The sequence below is a fragment of the Homo sapiens genome, chromosome 4, assembly GCF_000001405.40.
Source record: "Homo sapiens chromosome 4, GRCh38.p14 Primary Assembly".
Taxonomy (NCBI): Eukaryota; Metazoa; Chordata; class Mammalia; order Primates; family Hominidae; genus Homo; species Homo sapiens.
This window is the reverse complement of record NC_000004.12, coordinates 62,849,691-62,871,022: the sequence shown is the minus strand read 5'-3', so window position 1 is coordinate 62,871,022 and position 21,332 is coordinate 62,849,691.

The window sequence follows — 21,332 nt, the reverse complement described above, 5'->3', positions numbered from 1 at the left end:
TTACATGTTTTTTACAGAATTTCAATTTTTTGAAAGGCTATCAGTAAAATTCTTTTAATATCCACTTAACTTGGACCATTAGACATCACACCAAAAAACATTAATACTTAAAAATATCTTTATGCTGATATTAATTACAAATTAGTATTTATACATGCCTTAAAAACAGTTTTAAATAAAATTGTTTAGATGGGTGATTTAAATGTGAACGATCACTGGAAAGATCAAACAAATAGTATCACAGAAAGGAGTTCTAAAATTACACACTTTGGAAATCAATGCTGGATTTCACTTGCTTCCTAGATTTAACAACAGCAGTTTCTGTCTTTAGATTGCTGTAATTAGCACTAGCCTCAGATGCTCATTTACACCTTTGGCAGTCAAGGATGGGAAATATGACTTTCACTGATGGTGTGTTATAATCACACCAGCTTGGAGCTTTTTCTTCCCTCTGATTTTCGTTGATAACATTCACAGCAAACTTTAAAAAAAAAAGTCAAAGTGCATTTCTTTTGAGTTAAATGCTTTAACTCAGAATTTCAGGAGTGCATCGGTAATTTATAATAGTTTACCTTTTGTTTCTTTACTTTGTTGTTGGTCTCATGCAGACAAACATTAAGAACAAAAACAAAACAAAACAAATAATATATAGCTGAAGACCAGTTTTCTTATATATATATGTATATAACCTAGGAATTTCCCATGAGTGCAGATTATTATAAAATAGGAAGTATTAAGACCTGAAGCAAAAAATCAGAAAAAACTGTACTGTTCTAAATATAGAATTTAGAATTGCTCGTGTTAATATTATACCTTATGCAAGAAAATGTAGTTATCAAAATCCAGTTTGAACTATGACCCAAGCTACACAGCATTCACACTTTGAAAAGTTGGCATAAAATGAAATTTTATTGCATACTCAAATCTTAAATAGGACCATTCATTGAAAAAATGTATTTTTATCAGTGTGTACAAATGTACACTTAATATATGTACATGTACATGTTTAATATTTGTTCTTGTTTCTTTCTTAATCAGCATGACCATAATCATATTTTTAATTTTTAAAAAATCAATTTCTGTGTTTTTAACATAACTATGAAAGCCTTGAATAAATGAGTATCTTCATCTGAGCCATGCCAAAATAATTTTATTCTTTAACAAGCATAATCATTAATCTTGTATTGGAATGCATCATGTATACTAAAGGTGGATTTGGCAGAAGTAATTGTAGATGCTAATTCCTAAAAATTAAAGGTTTGTTATTTAGAATAACAGTAGATTATTAAGAAGATATTGGTAATATACTAGAAGAAAGAACAGAAGTTATATCTTTAGTGGGTAACACACTGCTTGCTTATTTTCCAGCTGTGAGAAATAGATCAGATTTCTCTGCCAAAGATCACAATGGCTTTCAAACCTTAAATAGTAGCAGAATGTAATAATGATTTCTACTATCTGCCCATTTTCACTGCGACTAATACACCAAAAAATAGTTAACAGATAAGCCCTTTATTTTCCTCTTGGTAACTGAATATTTTGGTAGGAAAAAAAATACTGAAACATTTCTTGCTGTTCCGATTCTAATTCTAGTGATTTTTGTTTTCTGTGTGCCCGTTGAATTGAAGAAATCATTCAGATTTAATTTCTGCCCTTTATTTTATTTTATTCCTTTTTATCTCCTCAAGTGTTAAGTTCCTTTGACACTTATTGGTGGTGTTATCATTTGGTCTGAATGAAATTAAGTATCAGAATTAATATTTAGCTCCTTAGGAGCCAGAAAGGGGCTGAAGAAGAGCTGATGCTCTTTAAAATGAGGCAGTCGTGACAAATCATCATAAAGTGTGGAAGAGCGAAGCTGAAGAATAATTATATATGTGAATACTAAACAGCAGAAAAGCAGTTATAAAATATCAGAAAAAAATGTAAAGACCAGTCCACAGCAGGGGACTGAGGCCCTTAAAGGAAAATAAGAAATTATGAGAAGCTTGACTATACTTACGAATGATCTACAAGAGAAAGCAGAGAAGATAATAAAACATGATGATCAGGAAAAAAGGTTTTACATTAATAAAATGTTTGAAAATTATATTAAAGCCAAGCATAAAAGAGTGATATCAATCTCTGAGAAAAATATAAAGAAAGATGACTCTCAAGATAATTTTTTAGTTTTGGTTGTGGTCTTATTTTTTGCAATTATCACTGCTTTGTTTCGTTTGCTTGTTGATTAGTCATGTTCAAAGAAGGAAACTTACAGCACTAAACAGCCTATTTATCTACGCTGATTATTTAACCTTGAATGAATACATTTATAGATTTCCAAGACAGTGTCTCACTCTGTCACCTAAGCTGGAGAACAGTAGCATGACGACAGATCACAGTAGCCTTGACTTCTGGGGTCAGGTGATCCTCCCACCTCAGCCTTCCGAGCAGCTGGGCCCACATGTGAGTGCCACTACGACTGGCTATTTTTTTTGTATTTTTAGTAGAAGTGGAGTTTCACCATGTTGCCCAGGCTGGTCTCTAATTCCTGGGCTCAAGCGATCCACCCACCTTGGCCTCCCAAAGTGCTGGGATTACAGGCACAAGCCACTACGCCCAGCCATTGAATGAATATAAAGTAAAAAAAAAAAAAAAAAAAAAAAAAAAAATTCAATTTATATTTAACTTTCTTCTCAATTAAGTGGACTGCAATTCACACTTAAAAGATTATTGGAGACAACTAAACTCTTCTGAAGTATGCCCCCATCCCTAAAACTCATCAAGTGGATAAAAATGGCTTGTTGACATTGCATGTGCAAATCCTTTTATCTATACCTGGGTTGGCCAATATAGTAGCCACTAGCACATAGGGCTATATAAATTTAATGGGTAATTAATTAAAAGTAAATAAAATTAAAAATTAAATCCCTCAATTACACTAGCTGTATTAGTCAAGGCCTCTTTCACTGACAAAGAAGACTAATCAGAATTTAGAGGCTCAATGTCCTTGGCTTCATTAGGGTTTCCCCACATGCCCCCATTCCAACTTACAATATCCAGTTCTTTCTCAATCAATGCCCTCAATTTAAAAGTAGACACCCTGTGAGACTGAGAACTCAACTTGCAATTCAGTGAGGCACTGGATGCAATTCCGCATATGATGTTCTGCTATCTCAGTCTTGTGGCTAAAGGAGATAAGGATCTCCTCCAGGGCATGCAAAAGATTTTAAGACATTTATGCAGTGCTTGAGCTGAGAATCTGAATTCTGAAACTCAGTCTTTTCTGTCACTTTGTCCAGCAAAATTAGAAGCAACCAGCCAACCTCATTATATTTGTTAGTTTTTCATAAATCTTTGAAAGCATCATACACTCAGCTTCTTGCTTCTTGTAAGTGATTGGTTAGGAATATTCAATTGAGATATTTTGCATACCTCCATTGCTGGATCACTCCACAGACTACAAGTGTTCTCTTACTAGCAGAAATAGAATCACTAGCACCTAGTCAGCCTAGAAAGCCAATTCCAGGAACTCCAAAACCAAGTTAGAAAACCTATTCTTAAAATTCGATTCCATTAGAACCACTCTTCGTACAAAATCTGTATCAGTCAAGGTTCTCCAGAGAAACAAAACAAATAAGATACATACAAAGAGAGAGAAAAACCTATCTATATAATTGTATATAGCTATATATTGTATAATTACATCTGTATCTAAGTCTATATAGTTGTAATTATATAATTATGTAGTAATTATATAACATCTATATAATTATATATGTATAATATATAATACACATATAAATTATATATATTTATAATAATGTTGTGTGTGCGTTTGCATATATATATAAAATTAGAAATTGGCTCATACAATTACCGAGGCTGAGAATTCTCATGATTTGCCTTCTGGAAGCTACAGATCCAGGAAAGCCAATGGTGTAGTTCCAGTCCAAGTCTGAAGGCCTGAGAACTAGGAGCCACAATGACATAAGTCTCAGTCCAAGAGTAGGAGAAATGGGTAATTCATTGTAAACAGTCAGTCACAAACAGAGAAAATTCTCCCTTGCTCCTTCTCTTTGTTCTAGTCAGGTCTTCAACAGACTGGATAATCTGGATGATGTCCTTTTTTTTTTTTTTTTTCCTTGAGATAGAGTCTTGCTCTGTCACCCAGGCTGGAGTGCAGCGGCACAATCTCGGCTCACTGCAACAGCCGCCTCCAGGGTTCAAGGGATTCTCCTGCCTCAGCCTCCTGAGTAGCTGGGGTTACAGGCAGGCACTACCATGCCTGGCTAATTTCTGTATTTTTAGTAGAGATGGTTTTGCCATGTTGGCCAAGCTGGTCTAGAACTCCTGATCTGAGGTGATCCACCCAGGTCAGCCTCCCAAAGTGCTGGGATTACAGGTGTGAGCCACTGCGCCCGGCCAGGGTGATGTCCATTTATACAGGGAGGTCAAATGGCTTTAGTCAGTCTACTGATTCAAATACTGATCTCTTCCAGAAACACCCTCACAGACACACCCCGAAAAAAATGTTTGTCCAAATAGCTGGGCACCCAATAACCTAGTCATGTTGACACACAATACTAACCACCATCACACTACTCAAATCTCAAGTGTTCAATCACCACCTATGACTACTACTTCCCATATTAGACAGCACAGATCTATCACATTTCTATCATCACACAAAATTCTATTGCCAGAGCTAGTCTAGATAACTATGTTTAAGTATACTAAGGTATAACATTTTGAGAATTTACATTTTTTCTGTTTACATTATTTGAGTAATATATGCCCTATTATTCTATAATCCAGAAATTTTTCCATTTTTTGTACTTGGTAGAGAATCAAAATTATTGCTTTACTAATTTGTTTTGTAATTCAGGCCATTAATCCAAGATATTATTGTAGAATGTATTACCACAGGGTAAGCATTTACATACCTGAGAAAATGCAAGTTGTTTTAGGTTTCTAGAACAGTGGAGGATAAAATATATTAAAAGTAATATATTGGGGGCCGGGCATGGTGGCTCATGCCTGTAATCCCAGCACTTTGGGAGGCCAAGGCTGGCAGATCACCTGAAGTCGGGAGTTCGAGACCAGCCTGAGCAACATGGAGAAACCCTGTCTCTACTAAAAATACAAAATTAGCGAAGCGTGGTGGCACATGCCTATAATCCCAGCCACTCCAGAGGCTGAGGCAGGAGAATCGCTTGAACCTGGGGGGCAGAGGTGACAGTGAGCCGAGATCACGCCATTGCACTCCAGCCTGGGCAACAAGAGCAAAACTCCGTCTCAAAAAAAAAAAAAATGTAATATATTGAGGCTCTAATAAAAAATTAAATTATACTTGTAGAAAAGATTTTAAAACATAGGCTGTGTGCTAGAACAACTGATGAATTAGATGCTGTTTTATTCAAAGTAATGTTTATGAACTTTCACCAGTTCCAGGATTTGTTCCTGAATATGGACCATTATTATTCCAATTGAAATAAACTCGCGCATAGAAATTTAAAGTAGTGTGCCCAAGATCATGCAGCTGGTAAGTGATGGAAGTGTCATTTCACTTCATAAGATATGCCGTGGCTTATGCTTTTGTGAATAGTTTATGTTAGGAAGGACTTCCTACTTATTCAGTGCTAATACAGATTTTGTGCCAAGAGTGAGTCTAAAGAAATAGAATTTTGAGGATGAGCTTTCTAAATTGGCTTTGGAGTTTCTGGAATTGGCTTCTAGTCTGACTAGTTTTAAAAATGGTGACAAATTAACATTTTTGTTAATTACTTAAACAAAATGAGCAGTATTATTTTAATGATAGGAAGCTGACAACAGAATTATGACTCTCAAAAATCTGGATAGAATAAAGGAATGTATTGAATATACCAAAATAATAAAGAAAACTTAATGTGTCTGTATTGAGTTTTAGAAATCGTACATCTTTTTAAAAATAAAGTAAAATTATAAGGCTTTTAGTGCACATTAAACTAAAGTAAATCAAATGTGTGAATTTGGTACTTAATTTATAATTTTTTATTTAGGGTTAATCTTTAGATTAAAAACTTTTATAGATTTAGCTAATTCTCAAACAAATTAATTTTGTTATTGTAGGAAGAAGGAATGTTGCCATGGTGTGGCAAAATGTAAGTAATTTTACTGACACACATATTCTAAAATGTAAGTTCTCAAAATTTGGAGTGTAACAAACTATATTGTTATAAATTTGAAATGTAGATCGATTTGAAAACCAAAGTTTTAAAAATAAAGATATTAGAGAAACAGATATGATATTCTTGTTGAAAGGCATTCAGATTAGCTTAGAAAGAAAAAGTGAGTTTTTTAATGTGAACACAAAGTATAAACATATTAGTTAGAAGTGAACATTTTCATGAGAACAGAATTTGTCTCAATATAAACACAAATAATATGCATTCTAGTTAATAAATAGGTATATTTGGAAGGCAGGGAGTTTTTTTAACCTCTGAATATGTTAAAAAATGTAACATGTACGTATTTTCAGAGAGAATTTTACTGAGAGCCTCTCTGTATGTTTACAGGCTGATTTCCTTTAAATGTATTGTGCTTTACTTCGGTCAGAAGTATTTTTATAATCAGCCTGTCTGCCTACTAGAATCAATTAAGGAAAGGACTGCCTAGATCAGCATGGGGATACATAAACTACTCAGTATTTTGTTAAATATTAATTAAAATATTTTTAAATACATAATTAAATTAGTGTCATGGAACGCCATTTTTCAACTATAGTATGTTTACCAATTTATCTACATTGTATCTGTTTATTATAGGTAGCAATTATAGAACTCTTTTGTTCATACTGAGGATCTTTTCTAAGGTTCACACAGTTGTATATATTCCAGAAATGGTCCAAGATTTATTTGAACAAACATTGTTTTAAATTTGAATGGGCAACTTAGTTGCTCCATCCGGTATTAATTATTCTCATAGGTTTGTGAGTAAAAAGTTTAGAAAGTATATAATACCTAAAAGTGTTAAAATAAATAAATAAAAATGTTTATTATTATTATTATTTTTTTTTTTTGAGGTGGTGTCTCACTTTGTCGCCCAGGCTGGAGTGCAGTGGAGTGATCTCGGCTCACTGCAAGCTCCGCCTGCCGGGTTCACGCCATTCTCCTGCCTTAGCCTCCTGAGTAGCTGGGACTACAGGCGCCCATCACCATGCCCGGCTAATTTTTTTGTATTTTAGTAGAGATGGAGTTTCACCATGTTAGCCAGGATGGTCTCGATCTCCTGACCTCGTGATCCGCCCACCTTGGCCTCCCAAAGTGCTGAGATTACAGGCGTGAGCCATCTGGAGAAGCATACTATTGGTAATATTGAAAAATGCCCAAAAATTGAGGTGGAGGGGGTCCCATACAGGGAGAAAGAGAAACAAAAGAAGGCCAAACACATTTTTACTTGATGAAAATAAAACAGTTCCTTAAAGGTAACTTATGCTCCCCAAAGACATGTAAACATACTCTACTACAGATTCTCATGTCTTATGTGAGATGGTAGAGCCAACTCTCTCGAATACGATTTTGTACTATGAGAACAGAGGACCAAAATATAGTGTCTCACCTTTATTTTTTCCCACAAATGATGACAACCTGAAGTTAGTTAATCAGTTCTGCGGTGGTTTAAACTATTCCCTTTTCTCCTATCTCCTTTGTACCCCCAAGACATCTAATCATTTGATGTAGCCAAGGACAGAAAGTCCATTGAAACAAATCCAGCTTGCCAGTTAATATTATTCAGATAATATCTGTCACTCAAAAATAAAATAGAATTTATTAGCAGGTACAAATATAAGGTTTGATGAAAGAAATAAGACCTTGTGATATATAAATCTGTAGGGTGACTATAGTTTATAATAACCTTGTATATTTTAAAATACCTAGTGGACAAGAAATAGAATGTTTCTAGCTGGAAAGAAAGAAAAATATTTAAGGTGATATTCCTAAAACCCTAATTTGATCTTTATAAATTACATGAATATATTAAATTATCACATGTACCCCAAAACTATGTACATCTGTTCTGCATCAGTACAAATATTACCAAATAATAAAATGAATGGCATTATGACCTTTTAATATTTTTCATATTTTCAGGTATAAGCCTCTAGACAGCTATTTTATCAAACTTCTAAAACTTTCTTTTTATAACTGTTTGAAGAGAAGCAGGTTTTATCATCTAATGAAACAGTCAATAAAACGTCTTTACATTTCAGCCATAAAGTAATAACACTGCCCTTATTTTTTGTTAATGAGAATATAGTAAATTCCATTCAGACATTTTATATTCTAGTAACTAAAGAGGCTTTCAATCACTTAATATCTGAATAGGTCATGATAGATATATTTTTCTCTGTTCACTCCTCAACAGAGCTTGATAAATGATTCTATAACATAGAGAATGATGTTTATATTATTTTCATATGTTTATATGATTTCTTTTGTTTATTTGTTTCTTTAGGACAAATTGTATTCCTATTATTTTAAAACATACTATTAAGGTAAAAAATAAAGCCTGTTTGTGACATCATCTACTTTTAATTTTTATTTTAATTGCTACTTTTTGCTTATGCTTATTTAAATGGAATTATGAACCACACCGGCAGACTCTTAGGTATATATTCAACCAACATTTATTAAAATCCTGATAATCCTATTTGTTTCAGGAGTAAACATTTATTAAGTCACTTTTAGAAAGAGAAAGTGGATAGAGTTTTATCTTCATATCTCTTATATGCCATGAACTATTCCTTGTGATTGGCATAGGTTAGTTTATTTAATCTTTGAAACAACCCCATGTGTTATTTGTTATTCTCATTCTTTCACCACAGATTCATAGATGCTATGCACCTTGACCAATATCTCACAACTCTTAGAAAATGAAGAAACAATTTCAAGTGACAATTATTTTACTACAAAAAGTTAAATCCTTTGTCTCTGCCATCTACCTTCTAATTCAGAAGCCTATATTCAGCACTAGTGGAAACATAAAAATGTCATGTTTATATTCTTTCTTAAAATTATTAAAGGAGACAATATTAAGTCAATAATTATTATTCAAATTAAAAATGAAAAAAATAAACAGGAACAATGGCAAAAAGTATGTCTTCAAATGAAGATTAGCTATGGGAAAACTTCATGGAGGGGAGGGCATTTAAGCATCATCTTACAAGTGTAAATAAAAGTTAGGAGGTGCAATATTACTTTTTAATTCTTCTTCTTTAATTTCTGAGACATTCCTATAGGTCAGTCGTTCATTCCTAAAAAAAAAAAAAAAATACTAAAACAAGGTAAGTCTCAGTTTGGTGATTCACCAATATAGCTAAAAAGTTGGAGCCATGTACATATCACCTTCCTGCTAAAATCTATTAACCATTCCCTTTTGCCAGCACAATAGTCTATTTTCCTTAGTTTCACGTTTGATCTTTCAATCCATAAATCTATTCTAGCTTCCTCTCACTACTACCTTTCAAAATGTTTGCACCCAGGAATCAGTCTTTTCCCCATATTCCACTCTCCCCCTATTTTGCTGCTTTGTTCAAGTATTCCTATTACCTACAATCTCCCTCATTATTCCTATTGAAATTCCACCTGACACTGAAAATCCAGCTAAAATATTACTTCTTTAATAATTACTTGATCCATATGTAGATTAATTCATTTTTTTCTAAACTCCTGTAAATCTTTCCTGAATTTTACCAAGACTTAATCAAATCTTGATTCAACTATTGTTGCTTCTAGAACTTATTTGTAAAGTTTTTTTGTGTGTACTCTTTTCAAATTATTATATTATAATTTTCTCGAAAGTAGAACGTTTGACTTTTTTCCCATTTTCCTTTCTATTTTCTAAGTTTGTTGGTTTAAATTAGTCATATGTTAACTGATCATTTCCTAATTAAATGGAATTGCAGGAAAAAATGTGAAAAATCACAATGAGTTAACAAAAATATACTAACAGGCCTGTTTTGTGGTAAAACATGCATCTAGTTTCGATGGCAGTTAGGATGAATTAAGAAAATACTGAAAACTACACTTGTGGACAAAAACAGAATGAATGTAAGTTGATTGACAGAACATTTAAATAAAAATAAAGAAAAAATTAAGAATAAATAGGATAAATACACATTATAGGTTAACTTTTGTTAATATTTCTCAAAATGTCAATTTTTTAAAAAATTATAATGATATACTTAAGGTAATATTTTACTTATTACTACAGATGAACAGTAGATCACTGCTTCTTTTGAATCAAAGTACTCAAATTAAGCAAAGCTCATTTATTTAGAAAAAGAGAAGTTGGTTAACTTACTCAATGTTTTATAGCCTACACATGAAGTTGGAAGTGATTTTAAAGTATATGTTTTCTCTAGTCTTGCATATTTTTTCCAGCATCATGCTTATCAAAATATATGATATCATATATATATAATTAATATGTAACTGATCCCATTATCCCTAAGGTGGACATGTGACTCAGACTGAGTCAATAAGCATATTCCATGTCTCCAATAAAATGATGGAATCAGATACGGGATATGTGTCTCTACCAGGACCAAGACGAATTTCTGCTGATATTTCTGCTGATGCTAAAGGAACAAAATGCCTATTCTTTCTTTGTATTCACCAGTTTAAAGAGCTTTGGGTGAGAAGAAGGGGGAAATCTTATCACCATATATATAAAGTTTAAGAAGAATGAAATATAACAGAAGTGAGCAGAATTAAACCATGAACTAAGAGAGAAGAGGAAAGTAAAAGAAAAATGTATGGGTTCCTGAATTCAAAATTTTGAGCTGTGCTTAAAACAATCCCAACCCCTTAGAACCTTGAGTTATAGTAGCAAATTAATTCCTTCTTTTGTTTTAGTTTCTGACAGTTATCCAAAGTCCAGAGTTACAAAGCATTCTGTTAATTGATGTATTTAAACTGTTGAATATTATGATTTCAGCAATGGCCACTAACTCATTTTCTAGAGAAGTTTTCCAGGATTTTTATTTTTTTTGTATATTTGTGTCATAGATTACTCTTTCCCAGACTACAGTGTCAAACAAGTGGTTTACAATAGTCAAAGATCACAATTTGCTAATCCTACTTATTAGCATAAGAAAATAAATAAATCATGTATTGTGTAGGATTGAAGGCACCAGATTATAAATGACAATTGAACAAATGTTCTTCTAGAATCTAGATATACAAGAATACCATTCTAATCTACTCCGCATTTATTTTCTTTGGGGTTCAGATGATATTTTTCTTTGTCAAAACTGATTTTTGTTTGTTTGCTTGCTTGTTTCAGTTTTTTGTCACATGCAATAAATTCTTCCTTAGTAAATGCAAAGTCTTTGTCATTGAGTCTAAAAATGTTAACATTTCTTTAAATAAAATATTCATCACTTTATTTCTCCAGAAACATTTTCCCCAGATTCCTGCCTAACGTGTGAAAGCCACTGTGCTTTTTGTTTCTAATGTGAACGTTCTTTGTTGGATCTATGTTTGCTGCTACGTTATCCTTCCCAGTGGCATTCTAATGATTGAATAGATTAATATAATCATCTTTGAATTACTTTTTTATTGGGATCCCAGAGAAAAAAAGCCTTTATATAATGTAGCACACTTTTTTTTCTGTTTTATATTATTGAATCAATCAACCCACTTTAATGTAGGTGTGTTATGGTTTAGTCATTTTACACCCATTATTGTGTGAAGCACACAGGAATATAATGGCACTTCAACAAATAATTAATGATGAATACAATTTAAAATGAGTAAAAATAATATTTTCCAGCTTATATTTCTGGCAATTCTAATTTATGAATAACTACATCTGACTATGGTACTATGACCTCTTTTGTGAATTACATATTACAGTGCTGAAGTGAAATAATCATATCTACATTAGCAGTTACAGCTACCAAGTCTCACAATTTAAAAATATATCTAGCAATTTCAATTCTGTGAATATATCCAAAAGAAAGCAGCATTTCAAAGGCATATTTGCACATTCATGTTCATATCAGCATTGTTCAAAATAGCAAGAATTAACCCAAGTGTTCATTATCTGATGAATAAAGGAATTGTGGTATATACCTACAATGGAGTATTATTTGGCCTTAAAAAGAAAATAAATTCCAACACATGATCCCACGTGGATGAGTCTTGAGGGAGTTATGCTAAGTGAAATAAGATAATCACCAAAGGACAAATAATACATGATTTTACTTATATGAGGCTCCCACAGTAGTCAAATTTATTGGAGATGATAGAGGCTGGTGGGAGGGGAAATAAAGAGTTGCTTAATGGATGTGGAATTTCAGCTTTGCAAGAAGAAAAAGTTCTGGAGATTGGTTACACCATAATATGAATATATTTAACATTATTGAACCGTGCACTTATGAATGGTTAAATGGTAAATTTTGTTATGTTTCTTTATACCACGATATTTTATAAAATGAAAAAGAGTGAGAATCCATGATTTTAAAAAAAGAAGTCTTAATTGTGTGATACAAGCTCACTACACCTTAGATGTATTTGTATTTAAATTTCTTTTTTCAGAATTCTGTAAGGTCAATTTTGTAAAACCATTTATTATTAAATTCTTAACTAGGAGTATAGACTTTTGAGGTTTTATTGCCTTTTTACCTCAATTTGTTTACATTAGTATTTATTAAGCTTAAAAGCTGTCTTAAACATTCTCTGCTGCAAAGTGCTGATTGAGGGTAATTTAAAATTTTCTATAGAACTGAAAATGGAAAATTTACAAACATGTTATTATTAATATTTGTGATAAGAGGTAGTAATGAAGAACAACGTAAGTGACTTAATTGGCATGTACATTTGAACTTTAAAAATGACTGTCAGCCAGGCGTGGTGGTTCACACCTGTAATCCCAGCACTTTGGGAGGCTGAAGTGGATCACAAGGTCGGGAGATCAAGACCGTGCTGGCTAACACAGTGAAACCACGTCTCTACTAAAAGTACAAAAAATGAGCCGGGCATGGTGGCAGGCACTTGTAGTCCCAGCTACTTGGGAGGCTGAGGCAGGAGAATAGCTTGAACCCAGAAGGTGGAAGTTGCAGGGAGCCGAGATTGCGCCACTGCACTCCAGCCTGGCAACAAAGAGATATTTCGTCTAAAAAAAAAAAAAAAAAAAAATTGTCACTGTTGGAATCATAATGTTGCCAAAACAAACAAAAGATAAATGTTTCAAGTGACAGATATTCCGAGTACTCTGATTTGATAATTACATGTTGTATACAAGTATCAAAATATCACATGTGCCCCCAAATATGTATGACTATTATATATCAGTGAAAATGGATTAACTAAAAACGATTGTGTATTAGTCTTTTCTCGAATTGCTCTAAAGAACTACCAGAATTGGTAATTTATTAAGAAAAGAGGTTTAATTGGCTCACAGTTCCACAGGCTGTATGGGAAGCATGGCTGGGGAAGCCTCAGGAAACTTTCAATCGTGGCAAAAGGTGAAAGGCAAGCAGGGCATCTTACAAGGCCAGAGCAGAAGGAAGACAGTGAAGGAGGAGATGCTATACACTTTTAAACAACTAGATCTCGTGAGAACTCACTCACTATCACAAGAACAGCAAGTGGGAAATTGGGCCTCATGATCCAATTACCTCCTACAAGGGCCCTCCTCCAACACTGGGGATTACAATTTGACATGAGATTTGGGTGCAGACACAAATCCAAACTATATTAGACTATTGTATCACTTAATTTCATTGTATTTTTTTTTTCTCAGCAAATAGAGAATTTACTTCCTTTATAGGATCTGAGATTTACTTAGTGTCTAACTTTAGGGAGCTAATTCAATGTGTTGAGAGTAATCTTTAAAAAGTTAGAGGCTGAATCGCTGAAAGCAGATAACTGGACAGCTCTTCCAGTTATGAATATGTGTAAATAAATATGCTGAATGAGAAGTAATATGGACAATTGTTTAGTCATTTAAAATTGTTCCAGATTTTTACATATTAATAGTTGTGATTAAATAGTTAATGTAACATATTTGCCTGTTAATTAAATACATTTTATTTAGTTATAATTGAATTTCCATCAGAATTGAATAAAGTGCCATGCAAGGCTTTCTGAATATTTACCTCACACAGGGGAATGAAAAGCGTATGAATAATACAACATATACTAACCGAATTAAAAATGAATAAAGTTTTAAATACTTGAAATCCAATTTGAATTCATTTTTAAATACATTTACAAAGTTTTCTTTTGTAATTCCAAATTTTTTTTAGAAAGATAACTGCAAATAATTGAGAAAGTAATAGAATGCCTTCAATGTTTTAACAATGATAATTATGTTTTCCACAATAACTGCTCCTATTACAATGTGGCCTTTATGTAAGAGCCAATCATTGGAATGAAAGATAAAGACTGGCAATAACTAATCACAAACTTTATGCAATTACATCATAACTGGTGTAATACATTTGGATTTCAGGGAAGGGAGTTCTTGGAAATCTTCATAAAAAATAAATTCTTACATACACTTCATTTATTTCTTCCACAGTTACTAGCAAAGATAGAATAATTTCTCAACCTTTATAGGTACAATTAAAAAGAATTGTAAAATTAGTAAGCCAGAATATTACATTTGACTAGTTAAGAAAGAAGGTAATAAAAGTACAAAATATATTTATTATGATTTTTTATTTATTACAAAAAATGAGAGAAACATTTCTGCTTCCTTGTGACACTATGCCACCCTAACCAAACACCAAGTTCTTGTCCAAGTCCCAGTTCTTTTCATTTCTTCCCAGGCATATCATTGTAGCCCTTAATACCACTTTCCTAGTATTTCCTTCCCTTAATATTCATTAACATTTAGTTAATGCTTAGGCCTTTTCCTTCTTTCCTTCCTTCCTTCCTTCTTTCCTTCCTTCTTTCCTTCTTTCCTTTTCTTTCTTTCTTCCTTTTTTTTTTTTTTTTTGTTCTTTTCAGGGTCTCGCCCAGGCTAGAGTGCAGTGGCACAGTCTCAGCTTACTGCAACCTCTACCTTCCGGGTTCAAAGGATCCACTCACCTCAGCCTCTTGAGTAGATGGTACTACAGGCGCACCACCACATCTGGCTAATTTTTTGTATATTTTGTAGACCCGGGGTTTCACTATGTTGCCCAAACTGGTCGGAAACTCCTGGGCTCAAGCGATCTGCCCGCCTTGACCTCCGATAGTGCTGGGATTACAGGCATGAGCCACCGGGCCTGGCTGTTTATGTCTTTTGTATGTATACTGTACTTGGCTAGTATATACAATCGTTATATTAATTTTTTTCATATGCACATGCACATATACATATAACATTTTGTCCCCACAGGACCATGAGTTTTTTTCATGTCATAAATATTGTCTTATACATTGGTAGTCCCTTACAATATCTACTTATATTAGGTATTCAATCAATACATTCCTGGGGTTCAAATGATAATAAATCATGACTTTTCCTTTCCTTCTTTTTTTTTTTTTTTAAATGGAGTTTCGCTCTGTCGCCAGGCTGGAGTGCAGTGGTGCGATCTTGGCTCATTGTAACCTCCAGCTCCCTGATTGAAGCGATTATCCTGCATCAGCCTCCCAAGTAGCTGGGATTACAGGCACATGCCACCATGCCCGGCTAATTTTTGTATTTTTAGTAGAGATGGGGTTTCACTTTTAGTCAGGATGGTCTCAATCTCCTGACCTCGTGATCTGCCAGCCTCGGCCTCCCAGAGTGCTGGGATTACAGGCTTGAGCCACAGTGCCAGGCCTATAATGACTTTCTAATAACATGGTACAAGTAAAGTATTCAGTTTAGTATAATTTTTATATGTATGAGTCATATTCATTAGTTATGTTTTTTCTTATTTATTATTCAATATGTGTGATTATTTTTAAAACACAAGACAATGTCATAAACATATTTTGTAACAGCTGTAAACATTATTATTATTATTATTATTATTATTATTATTATTTGAGATGAAGTCTCACTCTGTTGCCCAGGCTGGAGTGCAGTGGCACGATCTTGGCTAACTGCAACCTCTGCCTCCTGGGTTTAAGTGATTCTCCTGCCTCAGCCTCCTGAGTAGCTGGGACTACAGGACCATGCCACCATGTCTGGCTAATTTTTTGTATTTTTAGCAGAGATGGGGTTTTACCATGTGGCCAGGATGGTCTCAATCTCCTGACCTGGTGATCTGTCTGCCTCAGCCTCCCAACATGCTGGGATTACAGGCATGAGCCACCATGCCCGGCCGGCTGTAAACATTACATATACATATATGTTATATATATATACATTACATATATATGTTATATATATACATTATATATATGTTATATATATGTTATATATATGTTATATATATATTCTCTCTCTCTATAAATATATATATATATATATATATATATATATATATATATACTTTTTAAAACTAATTATAGAATCCCCATCAATATCAGATACTTCAGGTGCTAGGGATATAAAACTGAAGATGAAAAAACCTGAAATTTTCAATCAAGCAGTACTTTTAAAGAGATAGACATTATCAAATATTTCAAAAGTAAATACACAATTATAACTGGTAAATTCTATAAAGAGAGGCTGAGGTGTATAATGTTATAAAAGAACATTTTTCCCCCTACATTTTAGGGAAAAACAGGGAAGAGATCAGTGAAGGCTGTCCTAACTAGCAAATAACTTATAAGCTAATGTTGGAAGATAGAATAGACATTAACTAAATAAACAGGGAGAAGAGGACCTACCACGCACAGATATCTTGTGTTGAGAGGTGCCACATTATGCTGTGAAATTGGAAGAAAGTCTATTGTGGGCAGAGTGATAGCATAAAACGATATGAAAGATCGGCAAGAAAGTAGGTAGAGCCTGAATCTTGCCGCAACTCTTTGTAATATATTGAGGATTTTGAACTTTATTTTAAGAGTAATGTGAGCACTTTGAAATAGCTAAGCAAAAAGTTTACAGAATCAAGTGTACGATTAGACAAAAAAGTTGCTGGGGCTAGTGTTTAAATGAATTGGGAGTGGGGGAGGCACAGTTGGTCCCCTGCCTGTCTCCCTTTGGCTTTACCATTTCTGTGCAAGCCAGCCAGACTGACTTGCCTTTTGTTTTCTTTTTTCTTTTCCTTTTTTTTTTTTCCTCAATGGTTTTCTCCAGCAGTTAGAGCTCATTCTAATTGCAAGCATAGCAGATGGGAAGTTCTAAGAAATTAATGACTAATCACTGACAGAACTTGGTATATTAACACCCCGAATTCTTTGTTACTTAGGTGGGATGACTCTGAGGCACTTTTTCCTACTTTGTTTCCCAGAATTCCTCTGTGAATTAAACTTCAACTGGACCTAATGATAACTATATTGATAATCCTTTTTGGAACTCTTGATTCACTTCTTTACTCCCCTGCAGACATGTCCCGAGATGACCTCCCCTAAAAACTATTGGCACTAAAATTTTTGTCTCAATTTCTACTCCTGAGAAGATCTAAATCAACATAAGAAATGTCAGGAGTGAAAAAGAGGAGACAGGTTAATAGGTCTTTGAAGCAACCTTAAATAGATGTCGAATAAAAAGCACACATGAATTTAAATTCGGTTTTGTGAGCAAGCGTTACAAAATTTCTTTTTCTATTAAAACCCAATGATCCTTCTTAAAATTCAGGAGATAGTAAATACAGTAAACATCATTTTTAGTGGAATATAGAGCCTAGTGCTTTTCTCTTATTATTTTGGTATTTTTATCACTCCCTATAATGCAATACAAGCCAGGTTGTTCTTAGGATCTAACAACATGTAGAAAGCAGTTTATTTTTTCTTCTTTTTCTCGTCAGCAGTTTCTTTCCATGAAAGTTGCATTCCTTTAGCCTAATTTTTGGATCTTAATAAGATGTATCAGTCAGAACCCCAGTAGAAAACAGAAAGCATACTCAAAATAGAATATTTGGGGGCCAGGCGCAGCGGCTCACGCCTGTAATTCCAGCACCTTGGGGGCCGAGGCGGGAGGATCACGAGGTCAGGAGATGGAGACCATCCTGGCTAACACCGTGAAACCCCGTCTCTACTAAAAATACAAAAAAATTAGCTGGGCGTGGTGGCGGGTGCCTGTAGTCCCAGCTGTTGGGGAGGCTGAGGCAGGAGAATGGCGTGAACCTGGGAGTCGGAGCTGGCAGTTAGCTGAGATCGCACCACTGCACTCCAGCCTAGGTGACAGAGCAAGACTCCGTCAAAAGAAAAAAGGAAAGTTTAATTTCAAAGAAATAATTTACAAATGTTGGTACAAAGTAAACTACTATGGAGGTTACAGTAACTACAGTAACTATTTAGTACTACTAGATACTTCTATTTAGCATCCCTCCTGTAGTGTAATGCACTGTAGTGGAGAGAGATTCTAATGATGCAGACTACCGGGAGAGGACCAGTGACCTTCTAGCTAGTGACAGAGTCAGGCTGACAAAGTGGCACACACAAGACATAGAAGAATACAATTCCTGATCTCACTCTCCATTCACCCTCTAATCTTCTCCCCAGGGATCGGAGTTAGGTCAATACAATCTAGTGAGTGGGGAAGCTACTGATGAAGTTCACATAGTCATCCTTCAATGGCAGAGGTCTAGAAGGTGAAGAGTGAAGACTCACTTTGGAAAGATAAACCAAAGGTATCTAGTGTCTAAGAAAAGTGTCAATGACAAGGTTTTCTTAATCACGAAATGTACTACATCGCAGGGCAGCCACATGAGCTGATATCATACTACTGAAAGCATTGCCCATGTTCTTCTCAGTGAATTTTATTCAGTAACAGAAACCTCAGAAGGCAGTTGGTTTTTTGTACACAAAAGAGGACACAATATACATTATCTGCAGATAACAATTATATTTCATAATGATTTAACACTGCATAATCACTAATGAAGCAAGTGGGAAATACCTGGCTAAAGTCACTTTTCAAGTAGAAATGCTAGTTAAGGGATTGTTTAGTCTTAATATTTTGGTGATTTTTATTATGTATTTATTGTTAAATAATAAATAACCCCCAAACTTTGTAATTTAAGAATAGCATATTTACCATCTCATGGTTTCTGTCAATCATGTATTTGGGTACATAAACAGAAAAGCAGCACAAACAAATGTGTAAAAACGAATCTCATATCAGTTATAATAAGTAAAAATTCACTAAATTTTGCAATTAAAAGATAAAGAGTACAAGTAAATAATAAACAAAGAAGATATGTCTTCAATTTATTATTTATAATAGACTCACTTTAAGTGTTAAAAGAAATGAATACTATAAAATAAACTATTGGATTATATATGCATTCACTGATGTGGATTAATATCAAAATATATAATATTGGGTAAAAAGTCATAGATGAAAGCATACAGAATGATTCCCATTTATAAAACCTCAAAAGTTTTAAAAGTAAATAATACATCTTCCAGGAATATGCAGAATCAATAAAAGGGATCAACATCTGAATGAAGACAAACAAGATACACCTTCAAAACTAGAACTTCATTAAATCAATCTTGTTAAAATTGACCACTTAAAATGCAGTGCTAAATCATATAATGCAGGTGTGCAAAAATATACTCAAAAGGCATATAAGGTTGTCACAGTTTAATACAGAGCAAAGGAGTAGAACTGTCTGTGACAAATATAAACCATTGTAAAGATATATGCCTTGGCGGAGGATAGTTGATTCATCAGAATTTTATTACATTAAAACACCCTAGTTTCTTCTTCTGATTATAAGTCCATAAAACAAAATTCTAATCTAACATTAAAAAGAAGCCCTAAAAATTAGGGTGGAGTTGGTCAAAGGTATTAAATTTCAGTTACACAAGGGGAATAAGTTCAAGAGATCTATTGTACAAAGTGTGACTATTGTTACTAACAATGTATTCTATAATTGAAAGTTGGTAGAATAAAATTTCAAGTGTTCTCACCACAAATAAGTATGTGAGGTAATATATATGTTAATTAGTCCAATTTAGGCTTTCCACAATGTATACACATATTTCAGAACATCATGTTGTACACTATAAATACATACAATTTTGAGGTCAATTTAAAAATTTAAAAAGAGGCTTTGTCACACCAGAATATTGTCCTGTATCCATGTTTAAATTATTCATGATGTATGCCAGCTGTTTTTGTTTCTTTGTATGTTTTTTCTTTTCTTTTTCAGCAACCTCAGTCCCTCCTTTTAGAATGATTTTTACACTCTGCATATTTCAGTAAGCTACAGTTAATATTTGTATCTTCTGTTTTTGACTGTACTCTAGTTTTAAATTACCCTGTACCCTATTTTTCACTCCACATAGCACAATTAGGAGAGCAAATTGTAACCATCACAATATCTGAACATACTTGAGTTGTGTCATCCCTTTGTTATAATGACAATTCAAAAATTTTCTTCCTGCTAAGCAGTCTAAAATGTGTCACTTTCTTATAAGAACACTATTTTATTTATATTTATGTGAAATTTAATATGTAATATCATTTCATTGTTGCATTTGACATTAATATTATCTGTAACTACTATTACTTAATATTACTTAGAAAGCATTTTAAATGCTTTATGAATATTCTTATGTCAATCAAAATAAAAAATAGGTAAAATTTAAATTCAAATACATTATTCGAAAGTGATGATAAAAATTTTCCTATTAAAAATTAAATTTAAATTATTTTGCATAATATTAGCATTATAAAAGTATCTTTAAAAATCAATTGTTTTAAAATGCCATTCTTAAAACCATCTTAGTTTTTATTACTGCTCACCCTATGTGAAAATCAAAGAACCACAGAACATTGAACAGACAACAGTGTTAAAAACGCTGCCTAACAATTTTCTTCTAGCTAAGATTGGCTGAATTAGATTTAGTCCAATAAAATGCTATCCCTTTTTGACTTCATATATGTAAATCAAATATTAAAATGCTGCCTAACAATTTTCTTCAGGCTAAGATTGGCTGAATTAGATTTAGTCCAATAAAATGCTATCCCTTTTTGACTTCATATATGTAAATACAGAATTGCATCTCTACCAAAAGTGCCAGACACTATACTCTAACTATCAAAACAAGGACTTCCTCCTCATCCAAGAATATGTCAAATCCTTGACTACAGTGACAGAGCAGCACTTGCAGCTTCCAAAACCACTACTTCAGGAAGGTGCTGTAGTTATTTCAGCTATTTCTGTCTCACTGTTTTAATGGCAATTTGAATTTACTACTTAACTCTTTCTCACCCTTTACTGAATGTGGTTGTAATGCTTCAGGCATGTCGATTGTATTAATGAT